General features: G+C 38.3%; 1 protein-coding gene and 1 long non-coding RNA gene across 8 annotated transcripts in view, besides 1 other annotated feature; one reads left to right on the top strand and one right to left on the bottom strand.

Annotated features, from left to right (window-relative positions):
- The window catches only part of ACYP2 (acylphosphatase 2), a 334,188-nt gene that overhangs the window by 27,327 nt on the left and 291,688 nt on the right, over positions 1-15,173 (bottom strand). The window contains exon 4 of one of the 5 annotated variants that reach the window (NM_001320589.2): positions 10,609-10,678. The exons of the other annotated variants lie outside the window; for them this stretch is intronic. Within the exon in view, the coding sequence (NP_001307518.1) occupies positions 10,651-10,678 (28 nt within the window). The 3' untranslated portion in view covers positions 10,609-10,650. The remainder of the gene's footprint in view (positions 1-10,608; positions 10,679-15,173) is intronic. 5 annotated transcript variants of the gene reach the window in all.
- LOC105374610 (uncharacterized) overlaps positions 1-15,173 on the top strand; it is a 40,619-nt gene that overhangs the window by 1,665 nt on the left and 23,781 nt on the right. The window contains exons 2-3 of one of the 3 annotated variants that reach the window (XR_940091.3): positions 5,972-6,040; positions 8,275-8,675. The exons of 1 other annotated variant lie outside the window; for it this stretch is intronic. This is a non-coding gene — a long non-coding RNA (uncharacterized LOC105374610). Of the gene's footprint in view, positions 1-5,971; positions 8,676-15,173 lie in introns of those variants that run through there. One more of the 3 variants, XR_007086320.1, reaches the window with a different exon arrangement.
- Positions 5,928-5,977: an enhancer, noted in NCBI's record as "active region_15758". NCBI's record gives its function as "activates an Ori minimal core promoter by ATAC-STARR-seq in GM12878 lymphoblastoid cells {active_cell/tissue: GM12878}" and the evidence as "EXISTENCE:reporter gene assay evidence [ECO:0000049][PMID:35858748]".

The raw sequence follows: 15,173 nt of genomic DNA, 5'->3' as shown, positions 1-15,173 counted from the left end.
TAATTAATTAAAATGTGCATAGTAGTTGGAGACTTGGGGATTTATCGCATTCTCTTTTTGGGTACATTTGAAACTTCCTATAATAAAATGTTTTTAAAGTATTCAATGAAGATAAAAATATCATGGTAAATGACAAGTAATATATTATTACATAAAGGTAAGGTAAAATATAAATTAAGAAATAATATAGAACTGAAATAATGAATGTTGCCTAATTGTAGAAAGCTTTGTGCCTATGATTATCTAGCACATGAAATTATAAAACAATTTTCATTATTGAAATCATTTTTTTTTTTAAGACGGAGTCTCTCTCTATCGCCCAGGCTGGGGTGCAGTAGCACGACTGTGGCTCACTGCAACCTCCGCCTCCCAAGTACAACAGATTCTCCTGCCTCAGCCTCCTGAGTAGCTGGGATTACAGGCGCATGCCACCACACCTGGCTAATTTTTGTATTTTTAGTAGAGACGGGGTTTCACCATGTTGGTCAGGCTGGTCTCGAACTCCTGACCTCATGATCCACCCGCCTCAACCTCCCAAAGTGCTGGGATTGCAGATGTGAGTCACTGCACCCGGCCCATTTTACTAATTTCTTAATAGGCATATTAAAGGATTTGTGTGTGTTTATATAAATGCATTAAATATCTCTGGAAAAATAAATGGAAACTATTAAAAGTAGCTGTCTCCTAGGAGGGAAAAGGAAGGAGGGAGAGTTATTTGTCACTGAATCTCCCATTGGTCCTTCTGAATTTTTGTACATCTTGCCTGTGTTGCCTTATTAAATAGGTAAACAAATAAAATGAGCATGCACTTTGATTCAGCGATCCTGCTCCTAAAATTCTATCCTAATAATCAAGGATGTAGGTAAAGATTTTGCCTCAAGAATGGTCATTACAGCATTGTACGTAACAGGAAAGTGTTTCAAGCAATTTAAATGTCTAATAATTAGGATTTTTTATATGTTATTTCCATAAATAGAAATAATAGCCATTAAATTTATGAAGATGAATTTTTACTAATATATAAAGATGATTGTAATATGGTATTATGCTTTTTTAAAAAGCAAGTTGCAAAACAGGATGTAGCGGATGACCCCACTTTTGTGAGAAAATAACATATGGACAGGAAAATATTTGGGAAATGTGCATCAAAGGGATAATAGTGGTTACCCCGTGAAATAAGAATGGCTTTCATTCTTTCCTTTTTTAATTATTTTCAAATTTCTCCAGTAAATATCAATTTAAAATTAACAAAAGATTATGAAAGGGTTTGAGAAAGTCCCTAAAGGAAAAAAACAATTTTTCTTGTGTGTGGTGTGTGTGTGTGTGTGTGTGTGTGTGTGTGTGTGTGTGTGTGAAAGAACAATCTGAACCCAAAGAAAAAGATGAAATGTGGTTTTCATGATCAAAGTCAAAGTCATTACAATAAATGCTGAAATTTTATTGACAATGTCTCTAGCTGGGAGGTAATGACATCCAGAGTTAAACACTAATGAAGATTCTACCCATGGTATTGAGTCTTCTCAGTGGGTTTAGTAACTCCATCATGGTAATGCAAGGGTAATTTTTCCCCCAGTGTGTAAATAAGTGTTATAACATTGACAACTATTAGACTAATGTATGTAGGATGTTTAACAAAGGAGAATGCTGTCTGAAATACCTACACTAACAACATGGAGACACCAGACATTTTGAGTGAGAGACTTTTATTAACTAAAATATGCTATTGGGACAATGGCCAGAGGGGAAGGGTCTTGCACAGCTTGCTAAGGACTTTTACTTTTTCTGTAAAGACATGGATGAAGTTGTATTTTGGGATAAAAACTCAAGGTAAAGGATAGGTTAGAGGAATGAAAATTAAGCACAAGGATAATAATGATTATCGGGGTACAGTAATAATTGTAATCTCTTTAAAGGAATTTTTCCTAACAAGGATAGAAAGGATAAACATGTAAGCTATTTAAGTTCTAGTTTCAACTTTTTTTCAGAAAAAGATATATGACATATAAATATAAATATAAAACCCATACCAATTGCTTTGTAAACTCCTATCATACATATAATTAGGGATACGCTTAATGTTGCACTTTGACTAAATATTAACTAATTAGAAATTCCATTAAATCAGAATGTATTTTGCCCTTATCAAATAGTCCATTAGGCAAATCAAGCAGGGCTTGGATGTTCATTATAAAGCAATACGTGCTGACTTTCCAATTTCACCTAAATGTAATTCACTTAATATGTTAGATTATATAAATATGCTTAATCATTTCTCTATGCTTGATGTTCCTTAGAAAGGAAATTGTTAGACACAAAGCTGATTCACACTGATAGCTATCAGTTTCTCCCTGTCAAAGCCTTGGGAAGCACATCCCTAGGAGAGCTGAAATAAAACACTAGAAGATTTCCCCATTCCTAAATTATTCCCTGATTTTATGGAAAAGGTTCTAAAGAAATGTTTTCTCTCCTGACCTAATACTGGAAGCTAGAAATAGTCAAGTGGGACTATTCCTCTTTCAAAATTAAAGACTGTTGCCAGCATACTGATGAGATTTTTACCTCTATGAAATAGCCAATTTCAAATAGTCAGTAGCCAATCCTCAGTTTCCTGTGGTTGGGAAGAAGATAGTGAGATACAGGACAGATAACGAGACCTAAATAGTCAGCTGTTTCTGGAAAAGTATACTCAGATTTAGGTTCATATTAGTCTGGCTGCTTTAGAAATGATAGTTGAATTCATACAATTTAAGGGTTTACATGAAATCTAACTTGAATAAATAAAGAAAAGCAGCCTCAATTTGGTCATCCACTAGAGCTGAATCATTTTAACTCAGGGTTCAAATAAATTTATTGGTGCATTTATTAAAACCAAAGTTATTGAGGCAAGGAGGTTTTTTTTCTTCTTTTATACCTTACCTTACACAGAACTTAAAAATAATATTCAGAAGCCTGAAACATGGTCTAGTTAATTCAGGACCATCTCAGGTTGAACTGAGTATTTTGAGCTATGTGAGGTTGAACTGCATATTTTGGTTTAGTTAAATGATATCAAAAGCACCACTGTTTAATGTGGTAGCACAAAACTGCAGCTGCTATTACATCATTCTGCTTTGTATCCATGTTGGAGAAACCGTGCATGGCTGATGTAATGTTTTCTCTTCTTGCAAATATTGTGGCTCATAAATTTTGATTCCCTATGGCTCTCTCCCATGCTTCTTTTTATATAAAAACTTAGGGAAAATCTTTGACATTCTAAGGTTAAGTGATTTGCAATAAAAAATGTTTAATTTCCCTAGATTTTTCTTTTAGTTTCAGAGAACTTTTTTTTTTTTTTTTTTTTTTTTTTTTGAGATGGAGTCTTGCTCTGTCACCCAGCCTGAGGGCAGTGGTGTGACCATGGCTCACTGCAGCCTTGGCCTTTCAGGCTCAAGTGATCCTCCCACTAGCTGGGACCACAGGTGTGCACCACCGTACCTGGTTAATTTTTTATTTTATTTTGTAGAAATGGGCTCACTATGTTGCCCAGGCTGGTCTTAAACCTCTGGGCTCAAGCAATCCTCCCACCTCAGCCTCCCAAAGTGCTGGGATTACAGTTGATATGGTTTGGCTGTGTCCCCTACCAAATCTCATCTCCACAACTCTCATGTGTCATAGGAGGAACCTGGTGGGAGGTGATTGAATTATAGGGGCAGGTCTTTCCTGCCCTGTTCTTGCAATGGTAAGTCTCACGAGATCTGATGGTTATTATAAGGGGGAGTTTTACTGCACAAGCTCTCTTTTCTTGCCTGCTGCCATCCATGTAAGATGTGACTGCTCCTCCTTGCCTTCCACCATAATTATGAGGCTTCCCCAGCCACGTGAAACTGTAAGTCCATTATAAACCTCTTTCTTTTGTAAATTGCTCAGTCTCAGGTATGTCTTTATCAGCGGTGTGAAAACAGACTAATACAACAGGCATAAGCCATCTTGCCCAGCCTAAAGAACAATTTTATAGTCTCAATATAATGGTGGTTTTTGAGAAGCTCAGAAGACAAAACGAGACACTTGTTCATGGTGCAAATTCCTGTTTTTAATTCCAAAAATAATTGTTTGTAACTATTGGTAGTATAGGTCTTCCCTCTCTCCCGGCTTTGGCTGGGATGAGGTGGAGGGCAGGAAGGTTATTGGAATATCTGTTCAGAATTATTCAGGCATAAAAGTTTAGAAATGTGGCCAGGTGCGAGGGCTCATGCCTGTAATCCCAACACTGGCAGGTCGAGGCAGGTGAATCACCTGAGGTCAGGAGTTCACGACCAGCCTGGCAAACATGGTGAAATGCCATCTCTACTAAAAATATAAAAAATTAGATGGGCGTAGTGGTGGGCACCTGTAATCTTAGCTAATCGGGAGGCTGAGGCAGGAGAATTGCTTGAATCCAGGAGGCAGAGGTTGTAGTGAGGTGAGACTGTCCCACTGCACTCCAGCCTGGCAACAGAGCCAGAATCTGTCTAAAACAAAAACAAACAAAAAGTTTAGAAATGTTAACTAATGACTTCAATGAGATTTTAAGTTTAAAAACCATAATTACAAAATCTACAGATTCTATGCCTTCTAGGGGCTGTGTAACTTCCTTTGGAATTTTTTGGCATAACAAAGAACACTCAATTAATGTACTAGTATTGTAGTATATCTTCTAATGGAACATTTAAAACTTTGTATGTTTAAATTACAGACGAGAACATAAGACTTAGTTTCCCATTGCATACCCAAACAGAAATGTTAATGCATGTGCACCATAGTTTGTCATTTGTTCAAAATTGGGTTTGGACAGACTCTATTTATTAAATTTGAACAGTCAGTTTTCTCATATTGTTGCTGTAACAGAAGCAGAAAGATAAAAATAACCCAAACAACTTTGTCAGAGAAAAGCCTGCCTACCACTGTTCCCACCTTGATCCTTCCTAGTTTCCTGCTTTCCTAACCCCAATTCTTTGAAAACAAGATGAAAACAAGCTGACCTGGTACTAAACATCTTCTTGTGAAAAGGCTCATGACAAATACAGTCTTTATAGAAGCTTCCACATTTGAAATGTGAAATGGTGAGATTTTTAGGAGATACCACATGAGTTTGTATTCTATCATTGAAAGTCTCTCTTGTAGGAAAAGCATTAAGACTGTTGTCTTTGCCTCATTCATTCATTCATTCTGCATCAACAAATATTTATTGAATACTTGTTATGTGCAAAGCAATATAAGCAACTCAAGGATGTGGACAGTATAGCCTCTGTGAGAATTTGTATAATGCATATTCAGGAACAGTCAGCCTGTCAAAATTGGATCATCTTATCTGACTTACATTTGGATGAGGACATCATTGGTACAATGGAAAGACCACTGGTCGTGAAGGAAGCCACTTACTCCATCGTTTGCTATTTCTAAGATCTGAGATAAATTAACCTCAAAGGGCTGATGGGTTGGAGAGCAGTGAAAACAAGAACATAGACTACCTTCAGGATTACTTTCACATTAGACTTACTATGACCTAGAAACAGGAAGTGTGAAGCATATGCACAAGACACAGATGCAGGCGAGCGGATTCAGCTCTGAGATCCCTCCCTAGTTCCTCATAGATCACTGGCCAAAGTTCATGGTCAATGCAGCTCCTGGGTAGAGATAAACCTGCCAGTCACAGGAGCCCAGAGACACAGACTCACAGCCTTTCATTCACAGACCCCCATAGTTAGGCCCCTCAGTGTTCCATTTTTTATTGCTTCTTGGGGCCTAACATGGGCAGCCTGCATCTGCTAAACTTCAGTTTCCTCAACACTGATATTTAATAATTGTATACTTGGTAGGCTTGTTCTCAGCCTTGGGCAAGATGGTCGATATGAAGTGTTTAGCATGGTGCTTGATCCATGAAAAGAAGGTGCTTCATCAATGGCTTCCTCAGTTGAGGAACTGAAAGTAACATGTATGTTTCTTGCCTTTCCAGCCTAGCACTCTAATACAGGAATAATGGCAACTGCATTCACTTCGTGACAACAGAATGATACATTAAGGGGTGAGAGAAAACTATGATTATTTGCAGAAAGCAATGCATGTCTAAAAATCCTAAGAAATTTGCTTATTAGCCTATGTGAGTTTATCAAAGTGACTAGGTTTATAGTGAATTCACTATAATTAGGGGATTTCTTTATTGTGGTAACCACTAGTTTAACAAAAAGAGAAGAAATCCCATTTAACATAGCCACAAAAAAGGGTGGAGGGGACACAGAAAAAACCACTTTACTGAGGTCCTGGTATTGCAGTTAAAGAGTTTAATTAATGCAAGGCTGCCAAGCAGAAGGACTGGGGTTATCACTCAAATCAGTCTCTCTGATAAGGGGCTAGGGTTTGTATGGATAATTTGGTGCACAGAGGGATAGGGAATGGGTGCCGATGATTGATTTGGGATGAAATCACAGGGGTATGGAAAATGATCCCAGTGTGCTGAGTCCTCCTTTGGGTGGGGGGCCACAGGACACACTGGTTGAGTCATGAGTCACTGGTTGGATATGGTCAGTCAGTTGCCAGAAAACAAAAGTGAAAAAACATCTCAAAAACCCAATCGTAGGTTCTACAATAGTGATGTTATCTATGGGCGCAATTGGGGAAGTCTTAAATCTTGTGACCTCTGGCCACATGAGTACTGAGCAGTAAGGGATTATAGAAACTATGCCTACATTTGAGCAGAATTGAGGCTCCTCCCATAATACTAATCTTGTGGCCTTTCATTAGTTTTACAAAGGTGGCTTCAGTCCCGGACAAGGAGGGGATCAGTCTTAGGGAGGGACTATTATCATCCTTGGTTCAAAGTCAAACTATAAACTAAATTTCTTCCATAGTGAGCTTGGCCTATGCCCTGGAATGAGCAAGGAGCACCACCTGTGAGGCAAGAAGCATCTTGCCTCAGTCTCTCACTTTTATCATCTCTGCAAACGTGGTTTCAAACCATGACATTTATAAAGAAAATGATAAAGAATTGTATGTGCCATATGTAAAGAAAAGTACAAAGCTTTAATGGACTATACAAAACAAGATAAACAGATTTAGATATATATTATACAGAAAAACAATGTTCACCAAGTGAAGTTATTTACTGTTTGTTAAATATTGAAATTCCACACTAACAAAGAAAGTGTGACTTATGATGCTGCTCTAGTCTCCAGAATTTCCCCAGGAAATCCTAAAACCTAAAGTATAAGTTATTACACTAATTGAATAAAGCAGTGTAAGACATGTAGAAATAAATTCAACATATACTATCATAAAATTAGGAAAAAATAAGTTAGTAATTACATTTTATTCATTGTATTCATTTTTATTTTTTATCTTTATTTTTAAAATTTTGAGACATATCTCGCTTTGTCACCCAGGCTGGAGTGTAGTTGTGTGATCATGGCTCACTGTAGCCTCGTCTACTGAGCTCAAATGATCTTCCCACTTCAGCCTCCCAAACAGGTGGGACTACAGATGTGTGCCACCATGTCTGGCTAATTATGTTTTAATAATTGCCAGGATAACTGGCTAAAAAACACAAAAACAAAAAGTAATTTAAATTAGCACTTATGGTACATAGCAGAGTAAGATCATAGTGCATTAAAGAGTTAACTATATCCTTTAATTTTTAGCAAACTAGGAGAAATATGCATCAAATATCTGTGAAATCTTTAGACAGCATTTTTGAAAAGCTTATGGCAACAATGGAAATCACACAAAAAAATAGCTTAAAAACATCAAGAAAAAGTGATTTTAACATAAAAAAACTAACAATGATTGAAACACACAAGAAGGGAAACATAATTAGGAAACAGGGAAGAAGTTAGTATACATAACAAATTAAGGACTTATCCAAATCTTCAAAAATATTAAAACCTCAAGAGATAAATGGTCAGAGGACATAAACATACTATTTGCATATGAAGAAATTTAAGTAAATTAGATGCCTAAATAAATTCTTGGAAGGATATTTATAATAGCAAAAAACTGGAAACAAAATACCCAGTATAAATTACAGTGCATCAACTCAACAGACTGTTATATAGTCATTAGAATTATTATTATGGAAACTGGAAAATTTGTTATTTAATATAATTCATATTATACACGTAGAAAAACAAATGAAAATTGTTATTGATATAGAATAGTGGAATAATGGCTTTTCTATAAATAAAATTGAGGTGGAACAAGGGAACAGCTGTACTAGTTATTGAACATTATTACTGATTTTAACATCTATTGCATTTTTCAACATAGAGATGAGAGCAAAAAAGTTAAACAGAAGAAATCAGGGATATTAGTGCCAAATGGTAAGTTATTCAGCTTCCTAGAGTTACGATCTTTCACCATGCCAGAACTTTTACAGAGAACACTCACATTTCCCAAAGGCACTGGGGAAGGTGAGGAACACGCTGTGGGAGTCACCAACCATATGTGATGATGGTTATACCTTTGTCTATGGGGCCTTATTCTGGGATATCAGTGTCATCAGTTTGTCTTTCTCCTTCCTGATGCTTTATTCTTATCATAATTCTTTTTAAAGTTTGCAGTTTGCCTGGATTTAGATAAAGGTCTTCATCTTTTAACTGTGAATTTATTTCTTGTATGTAGCTCCTAACATATTTCAGTATCCTCTTTGCCATCCCTTGCCATCTTGTTTACTGTTTCTCATGTAAAAGGCATTGTTTAGATTAAGAGTTAACAGCTCAGGCTGGGCACAGTGGCTCATGCCTGTAATCCCAGCACTTTGGGAGGCTGACCTGGAATAATCGCTTAAGGCCAAGAATTCAAGACTAGCCTGGGCAACATAGTGAGCCCCTGTCTCTACAAATAATAATAAAAATCAAAACAGTTAATAATTTGAATAATGGGCACAGTTTCACTCCTGGCTGAGTGTGTGACCTTGGACAAATTACTTATTTGTAAGCCTTGGATACATTTATAAGTAAGATGGAAATGATGACACAAACTTCATTGGGTAATTATGAGGTTTAAATTAAGAGATAATTCATATAATGTGCTTAATGTGTTACCTACTTATAACATTGTAAACTCTCAGGTTATGACATGAATATGTCACTTAAATGCCTTTCAAATTTTTAACTATTAAGGAAAAAAAAGAAAAACTCACAACCTTAAAATAATTGTTTGTTTGAGAAAGGGGTCTTGCTCCAGGCTGGAGTGCAGTGCTGCCAACACGGCTCACTGCAGCCTTAACCTCCTGGGCTCAAGCATCCTCCCACCTCAGCCTCCCAAGTAGCTGGGACTCCAGACGCATGCCACCATTCCCAGCTAATTTTTTTTTTTTTTTTTTTTTGGTAGAGACTGGGTCTCACTATGTTGCCCAGGCTGGTTTCGAACTCCTGGGCTCAAGTGATCTTCCTGTCTCAGCCTCCCAACTTGCTGGGATTACAGGTGTCAGTCACTGCACCCAGCCAGTTCTACTTCTTTCCATACATTGGGTAGATCACTATAAGAAAGTCATGGTTAAATTTAAAAAGGCAAGTTCCCTTACTTTGCCTTTTAAAAGACACCTTGAATATGGAATGGAATAGTGTATAAATAAATCGACCAGGTTTCCTTAATCACCACACCTAAGTAAACTGTATTTACTGAAATCAGAAAGATGACGAGAAGGAAAATGCATTTATTCAATCCTGGCTTTATGACTTAAGTAGTCCAACAACCTCATTGCAGCTACTAAAGTCTGTCAAATGATCAAAACCAAAATATAGAACTATTTGCTATAGTTCATATTTAAACTTTTGAAAATGAATCTCAGTTGAAAAGTTCAGGTAGGGAGGAAGGGGCATTTTCAAAGGAATTAAATGTTGTGGTTCAGGTTCAAAGCAGCTATGGCTGGCAGAAAATCAAGGCTTTCCATATTGTGTCTTAGGTAGTGATACCAAATGGGGTGCAGGTATTGTATATATGTATTTTTAAAATTTGAAATTGGTAAGTGTAGTATGAGCATTACTTGGACTTTATTTGAATTTATTTGAATTTCAACAGCTACCCACAGATGTGCTTAGCATGAATAGGCCCCAATTCCCAAATAGCACAATATTTCAAATCTATTTTAGATTCTGAAACAAGAGCCGATTCTAGGAAGATAGCTCTGAACCTTTTTCCCAGCTGCAGAAATAACTCTGCTTGTTGCCCCTCTGACCTACACCAAGGGAAGCTGCTTGAAAAGATGTTCTTTTGCCAACAATCATTTTACCATTGTAACCCACAAGTGGAAAAACAAACTATTGGCTCCTCTTCAGAAAACCTATTCTCACATTGCCAGAACCAGGTAGATAAAGAAAGCAAGCCATAGAGTTCTTTTAATTCCTGTCTCATTTTCCAGAATGATCTTTAAATTTTTGTTACCCCAGGGAGGCCTATTATTCATGGCATGTATGAAATGGGGCTTATATATATGTCAACAATTGGTCACTAGTAACCTTCCCCCAAATAATTAAATTCATCTAGGGAGGCTTTAGGACCACTCTTCCCCCAGCTCCCAATTCCTTCTCCCTCCTTCTGTTCCCACCCCTTACTTTAGGATGTATAAGCCCTTCTCATTTGAAAGTAGAAACCTCTCACCTGAATTCTCCTCTAGCTGTTGCCCTATCTTGTTTCTTTTCTTCACCCAGCTTCCGGAGCTGATGAATTCCTATTAAGTCAAATGGAAATTCTGAATTTCCTTTCAGACATAATAATGTTTTTATTGGGAGCTTCTTTGTGCCAGGCACTTTTATAGGCCCCTAAAAAACATTTTCTTGATGAAAAAATACATGAATAATACATGCTCATTATAACAACTCAACAATACAGAAACAGATAAAGATAGCATCAATGCCTCTCCCCACTCAACTCCGTATCTTACCTTGTCCACCACAAGAGATAAGAATTACTAACCCTCTTTTGTAGCTGAGAATGGCTCAGAGAGTACCCCGTAGAGTTTAAAAGGAAGAGCTTTATAGGCTCAGATTGCCTGGGTTCATTTCTTCGCCTCGCCATTTCCTATGTGTCCATCTGCAAATTAACATTTCTGCACCTCGGCCGGGTGCGGTGGCTCATGCCTGTAATCCCAGCACTTTGGGAGGCTGAGGCGGGCGGATCACGAGGTCAGGAGATTGAGAACATCCTGGCTAACACGGTGAAACCCCGTCTGTACTAAAAAAAATACAAAAAAATTAGCCAGGCGTGGTGGTGGGAGCCTGTAGTACCAGCTACTTGGGAGGCTGAGGCAGGAGAATGGCGTGAACCCGGACGGCGGAGCTTGCAGTGAGCCGAGATCGCGCCACTGCACTCCAGCATGGGCAACAGAGGGAGACTCCGTCTCAAAAAAAAAAAAAAAAAAAAAAAAAAAAAAAAAGATAGATAGATATCTATATCTATCTATCTATCTATCTTTATCTAGCTATATCTATATCTATATATTTCTGCACCTCAGTTTTCTTATCTGTTGAACAGGGCCAATGATAGTACCTGGTTTATAGGGTGTTGTGATAAGGATGTAATTTGCTAAAACAAAATTGTTGGAAAAACATTTACTATCCAGTCCATATTTTAATTTCCTCCACTGTCCCAAGAATGCTTTTGAGAGTTTTCCTGTCCCCTACCCCAAACAAGGATCATATACTTATATTTTTGAAAGGGCATGGGCATGTCCAGTGGGTTGTGGTAAATGATTGAGTGTGTTGGTGGATCTTGTTTACTCATATTTTATCCAGTATTTTTGTATCAATATTCACAAGTAATACTAAAAAGTCCTTTAGTTGCAGACCATAAGTTCTAGTATATGAGGTTTCCATTATTGTTATTTTGAAGGTGTTCTGTAATTTATTTATTTCCTTTTTGACCCAAGAGTTGATTTAGAGAGTTACTTATGTCAGCAATTACAGAACTGTTCTCAGAACATGCTGCTCACACTCTACTTTTTGCAATATATTGAGGTTTTTTTATGGGCATAATAAATTCTCAATTTTTGTGAATGTCCAATGGGCACGTGAAAAGAAGGGGTATTCTCTATTTTCAGGATGCTGAGTCCTAGATAGCAAAAATAATGAGAGCCAATATTTATCAAATACTTAATATATGCTAAGCTTCGCTCTTTAGAACAATTCTGTGCTTCACAACAATTCTGGGAGGTAGGCACTATTATTATGTCAGTTTTACAGATAAGGAAACTGGGCACAAAAGTAACTTTCCCAAGGTTATTTAGTAACTAAGTGCAGTTTGAGATTTGGACTTACCACTCTTAACCACTACATTTCAACTTATTTAATTAATCTTCATATCACCCCTGTATGTAGATATTTATCTGTGAAGCAGAGGAAGAAAACTCAGGCTCAAAGAGGTTAAGCGTTTGCCCAAAGTCATAATAGGCCACACCCTGCATTCTTCCCCTTTCTCCTTGGTATTCCTTTCAGCTGCCTCATCCATTGTCAAAAGGAGAGTAGGATGCTGATATGGTTTGGCTCTGTGTCCCCACCCATATCTCATCTTGTAAGCTCCCATAATTCCCATGTGTTGTGGAAGGAACCTGGTGGGAGATCACTGAATCATGGGGGTGGGTCTTTCCCATGCTATTCTTGTGATAGTGAATAAGTCTCATAAGATCTGATGGTTTTAAAAATGGGAGTTTCCATTTACAAGCTGTCTCTCTTTGCCTGCTGCCATCCATGTAAGATGTGACTTGCTCCTCCTTGCCTTCCACCAAGATTGTGAGGCCTCCCCAGCCACGTGGAACTGTAAGTCCATTAAACCTCTTTCTTTTGTAAATTTCCCAGTCTCAGCTATGTCTTTATCAGCAGTGAGAAAATGGACTAATACACATGCTTATCTTTTGACCCCCTACTTTTTATTATACAAATTTTCCTACATACATAGAAAGCATAGTACAATCAAATAGCTACATAATTCCACCTAGTTAAAGTTTGCTATATTTTCTTTCCTCCCTCTCTCCCCATAAGTTTGTTTTTGGCATTGTAGTTGAACTTTGTGAAGGTAAGTTGGAAATACCTTAACACTTGACTTCTAAATACTAAAATTCCTTTCCTGAGAATAAGAATGCTGTTTTCTATACTTTAATGCCATTTATCACACCTAAGAAAATTCATGTAATTCTTTTAAACATTTACTATCCAGTCCCTATTTTAATTTCCTCCACTGTCCCAAGAATGCTTTTGAGAGCTTTACTGTCCCCTACCCCAAACAAGGATCATGTATCTTGTTGAAACAACTCACCACCTAAATTTATACTTATATTTTTGAAAGGGCATTAAGATTTCTACTTGTTTCTGTATAATATGCATCCACCCATCTCCAGACCGGCATCCCTTTTTGGGCAATTACCTTGGACCTTCTCCCTTTCCTCCCACCTTGTTTTTTACATGTGAGTTTGCAGCACTGTCTGCCTGGCTTCCGCCCTTCCTGGCTAGTCTCCTGCTTCTGCCTTCTTCATTCTAAGCTCCCTGAGCAGGATCTGAGAGGTGAAGCCAGCTGGGCTTCTGGGTCGGGTGGGGAGTTGGAAAACTTTTCTGCCTAGCTAGAGGATTGTAAACACACCAATCAGCAGGATGTGGGCGGGGCCAAATAAAGGAATAAAAGCTGACCGCCAGAGCCAGCAGCGGCAACCTGCTTGGGTCGCCTTCCACGCTGTGGAAGCTTTGTTCTTTCACTCTTCACAACACATCTTGCTGCTGCTCACTCTTTGGGTCCGCACTACCTTTATGACCTGTAGCACTCACTGAGAAGGTCTGCGGCTTCACTCCTGAAATCAAGCGAGACCACGAACCCACCGGAAGGAAGAAACTCCGGACCCTTCTGAACATCTGAAGGAACAAACTCTGCACACACCATCTTTAAGAACACTCATCGCGAGGGTCCGTCGTTTCATTCTTGAAGTCAGTGAGACCAAGAACCCACCAGATGGAACCAATTCTGGACACAGATCCATGCCTGTTTCATTCACCACTAAACATCTATCACCTCCCTGACACACAAAAGGTGGTCAATAAATAGGCACTTACTGCTCTTCCTGTGCTCACTGTTTGTTTGGATTTGATGACTGAAGCTGGCTTCCTGGTTTCAACTAGTGATTGTAATATCTTCTCTCAGTATTCTGGCAGTTCAGTATATGGTGTATGTTAAAATAATGAAATTCTGGTATATTTATTTTACTATGATTATCCAGTACTGTAAAAGGTGCTGAATTATCATCTTGAAACATATGCAAAGAGTTATACACTATATTAAAATTTGAAAAGAATGAAGGAGCAACTCTATACTCCTCCAAAGGAAAGAGAAAATATCAATGGACAACCCAAAGCTTTTTTTTCGACAGGGTGTGTCACTATGTCACCCAAGCTGGAGTGCCAGTGGCAATCATAACTCACTGGAAGCTCCAACTCCTGGGCTCAAGCGATCCTCCCATCTCAGCCTCCTGAGTAGCTAGGACTACAGGTATGCAGCACCATGCCTGGCTGATTTTTAAATTTCTTTGTAGAGACACGGTGATATGGTTGGATATTTGTCCCTGCTCAAATCTCATGTTGAAATGTAATCCCCAGTGTTCGAGGTGGAGCCTGGTGGGAGATGACTGGATCATGGGGGCAGCTTCTCATGAATGGTTTAGCACTATCCCCTTGATGTTGTCCTCTTGACAGTGAGTGAGTTCTCACAAGATCTGGTCACTTAAGTGTGTGGCACCTCCCTCTCTCTCCTCCTCTTGCCATGTGCCTGTTGCCCCTTTGCCTTCCGCCATGATTGTAAGCTTCCTTAAGTCTCCCCAGAAGATGAGCAGATGCCACACTATGCTTCCTGTAAAGCCTGCTGAACCAATTACACTTTTTTCTTTATAAATTACCCAATCTCAAGTATTTTTTTATAGCAATTCAAGAATGACCTAACACACAGGGTCTCACTACCTTGTCCACGCTGGACACAAACTCCAGCCTCAGGTGATTCTCCCACTTTGGCCCCCCATAGTGCTGGCATCACAGGCATGAGCCACTACACCCAGCTTCTAAACCTTCTATCACATACATAAATCTTACTCCTACTTCAAAGACCGTTCAATAAAGTGGAATGTGAATGGGACAGTAATTAATTAGGTTGATACAGTTGTACCTAATCTATATTCAAACAGGATAAATTAAAGA

This window comes from Homo sapiens, chromosome 2 (genome assembly GCF_000001405.40).
Source record: "Homo sapiens chromosome 2, GRCh38.p14 Primary Assembly".
In the NCBI taxonomy this organism is placed as follows: Eukaryota; Metazoa; Chordata; class Mammalia; order Primates; family Hominidae; genus Homo; species Homo sapiens.
This window is presented reverse-complemented; position numbering and strand designations above follow the sequence as displayed.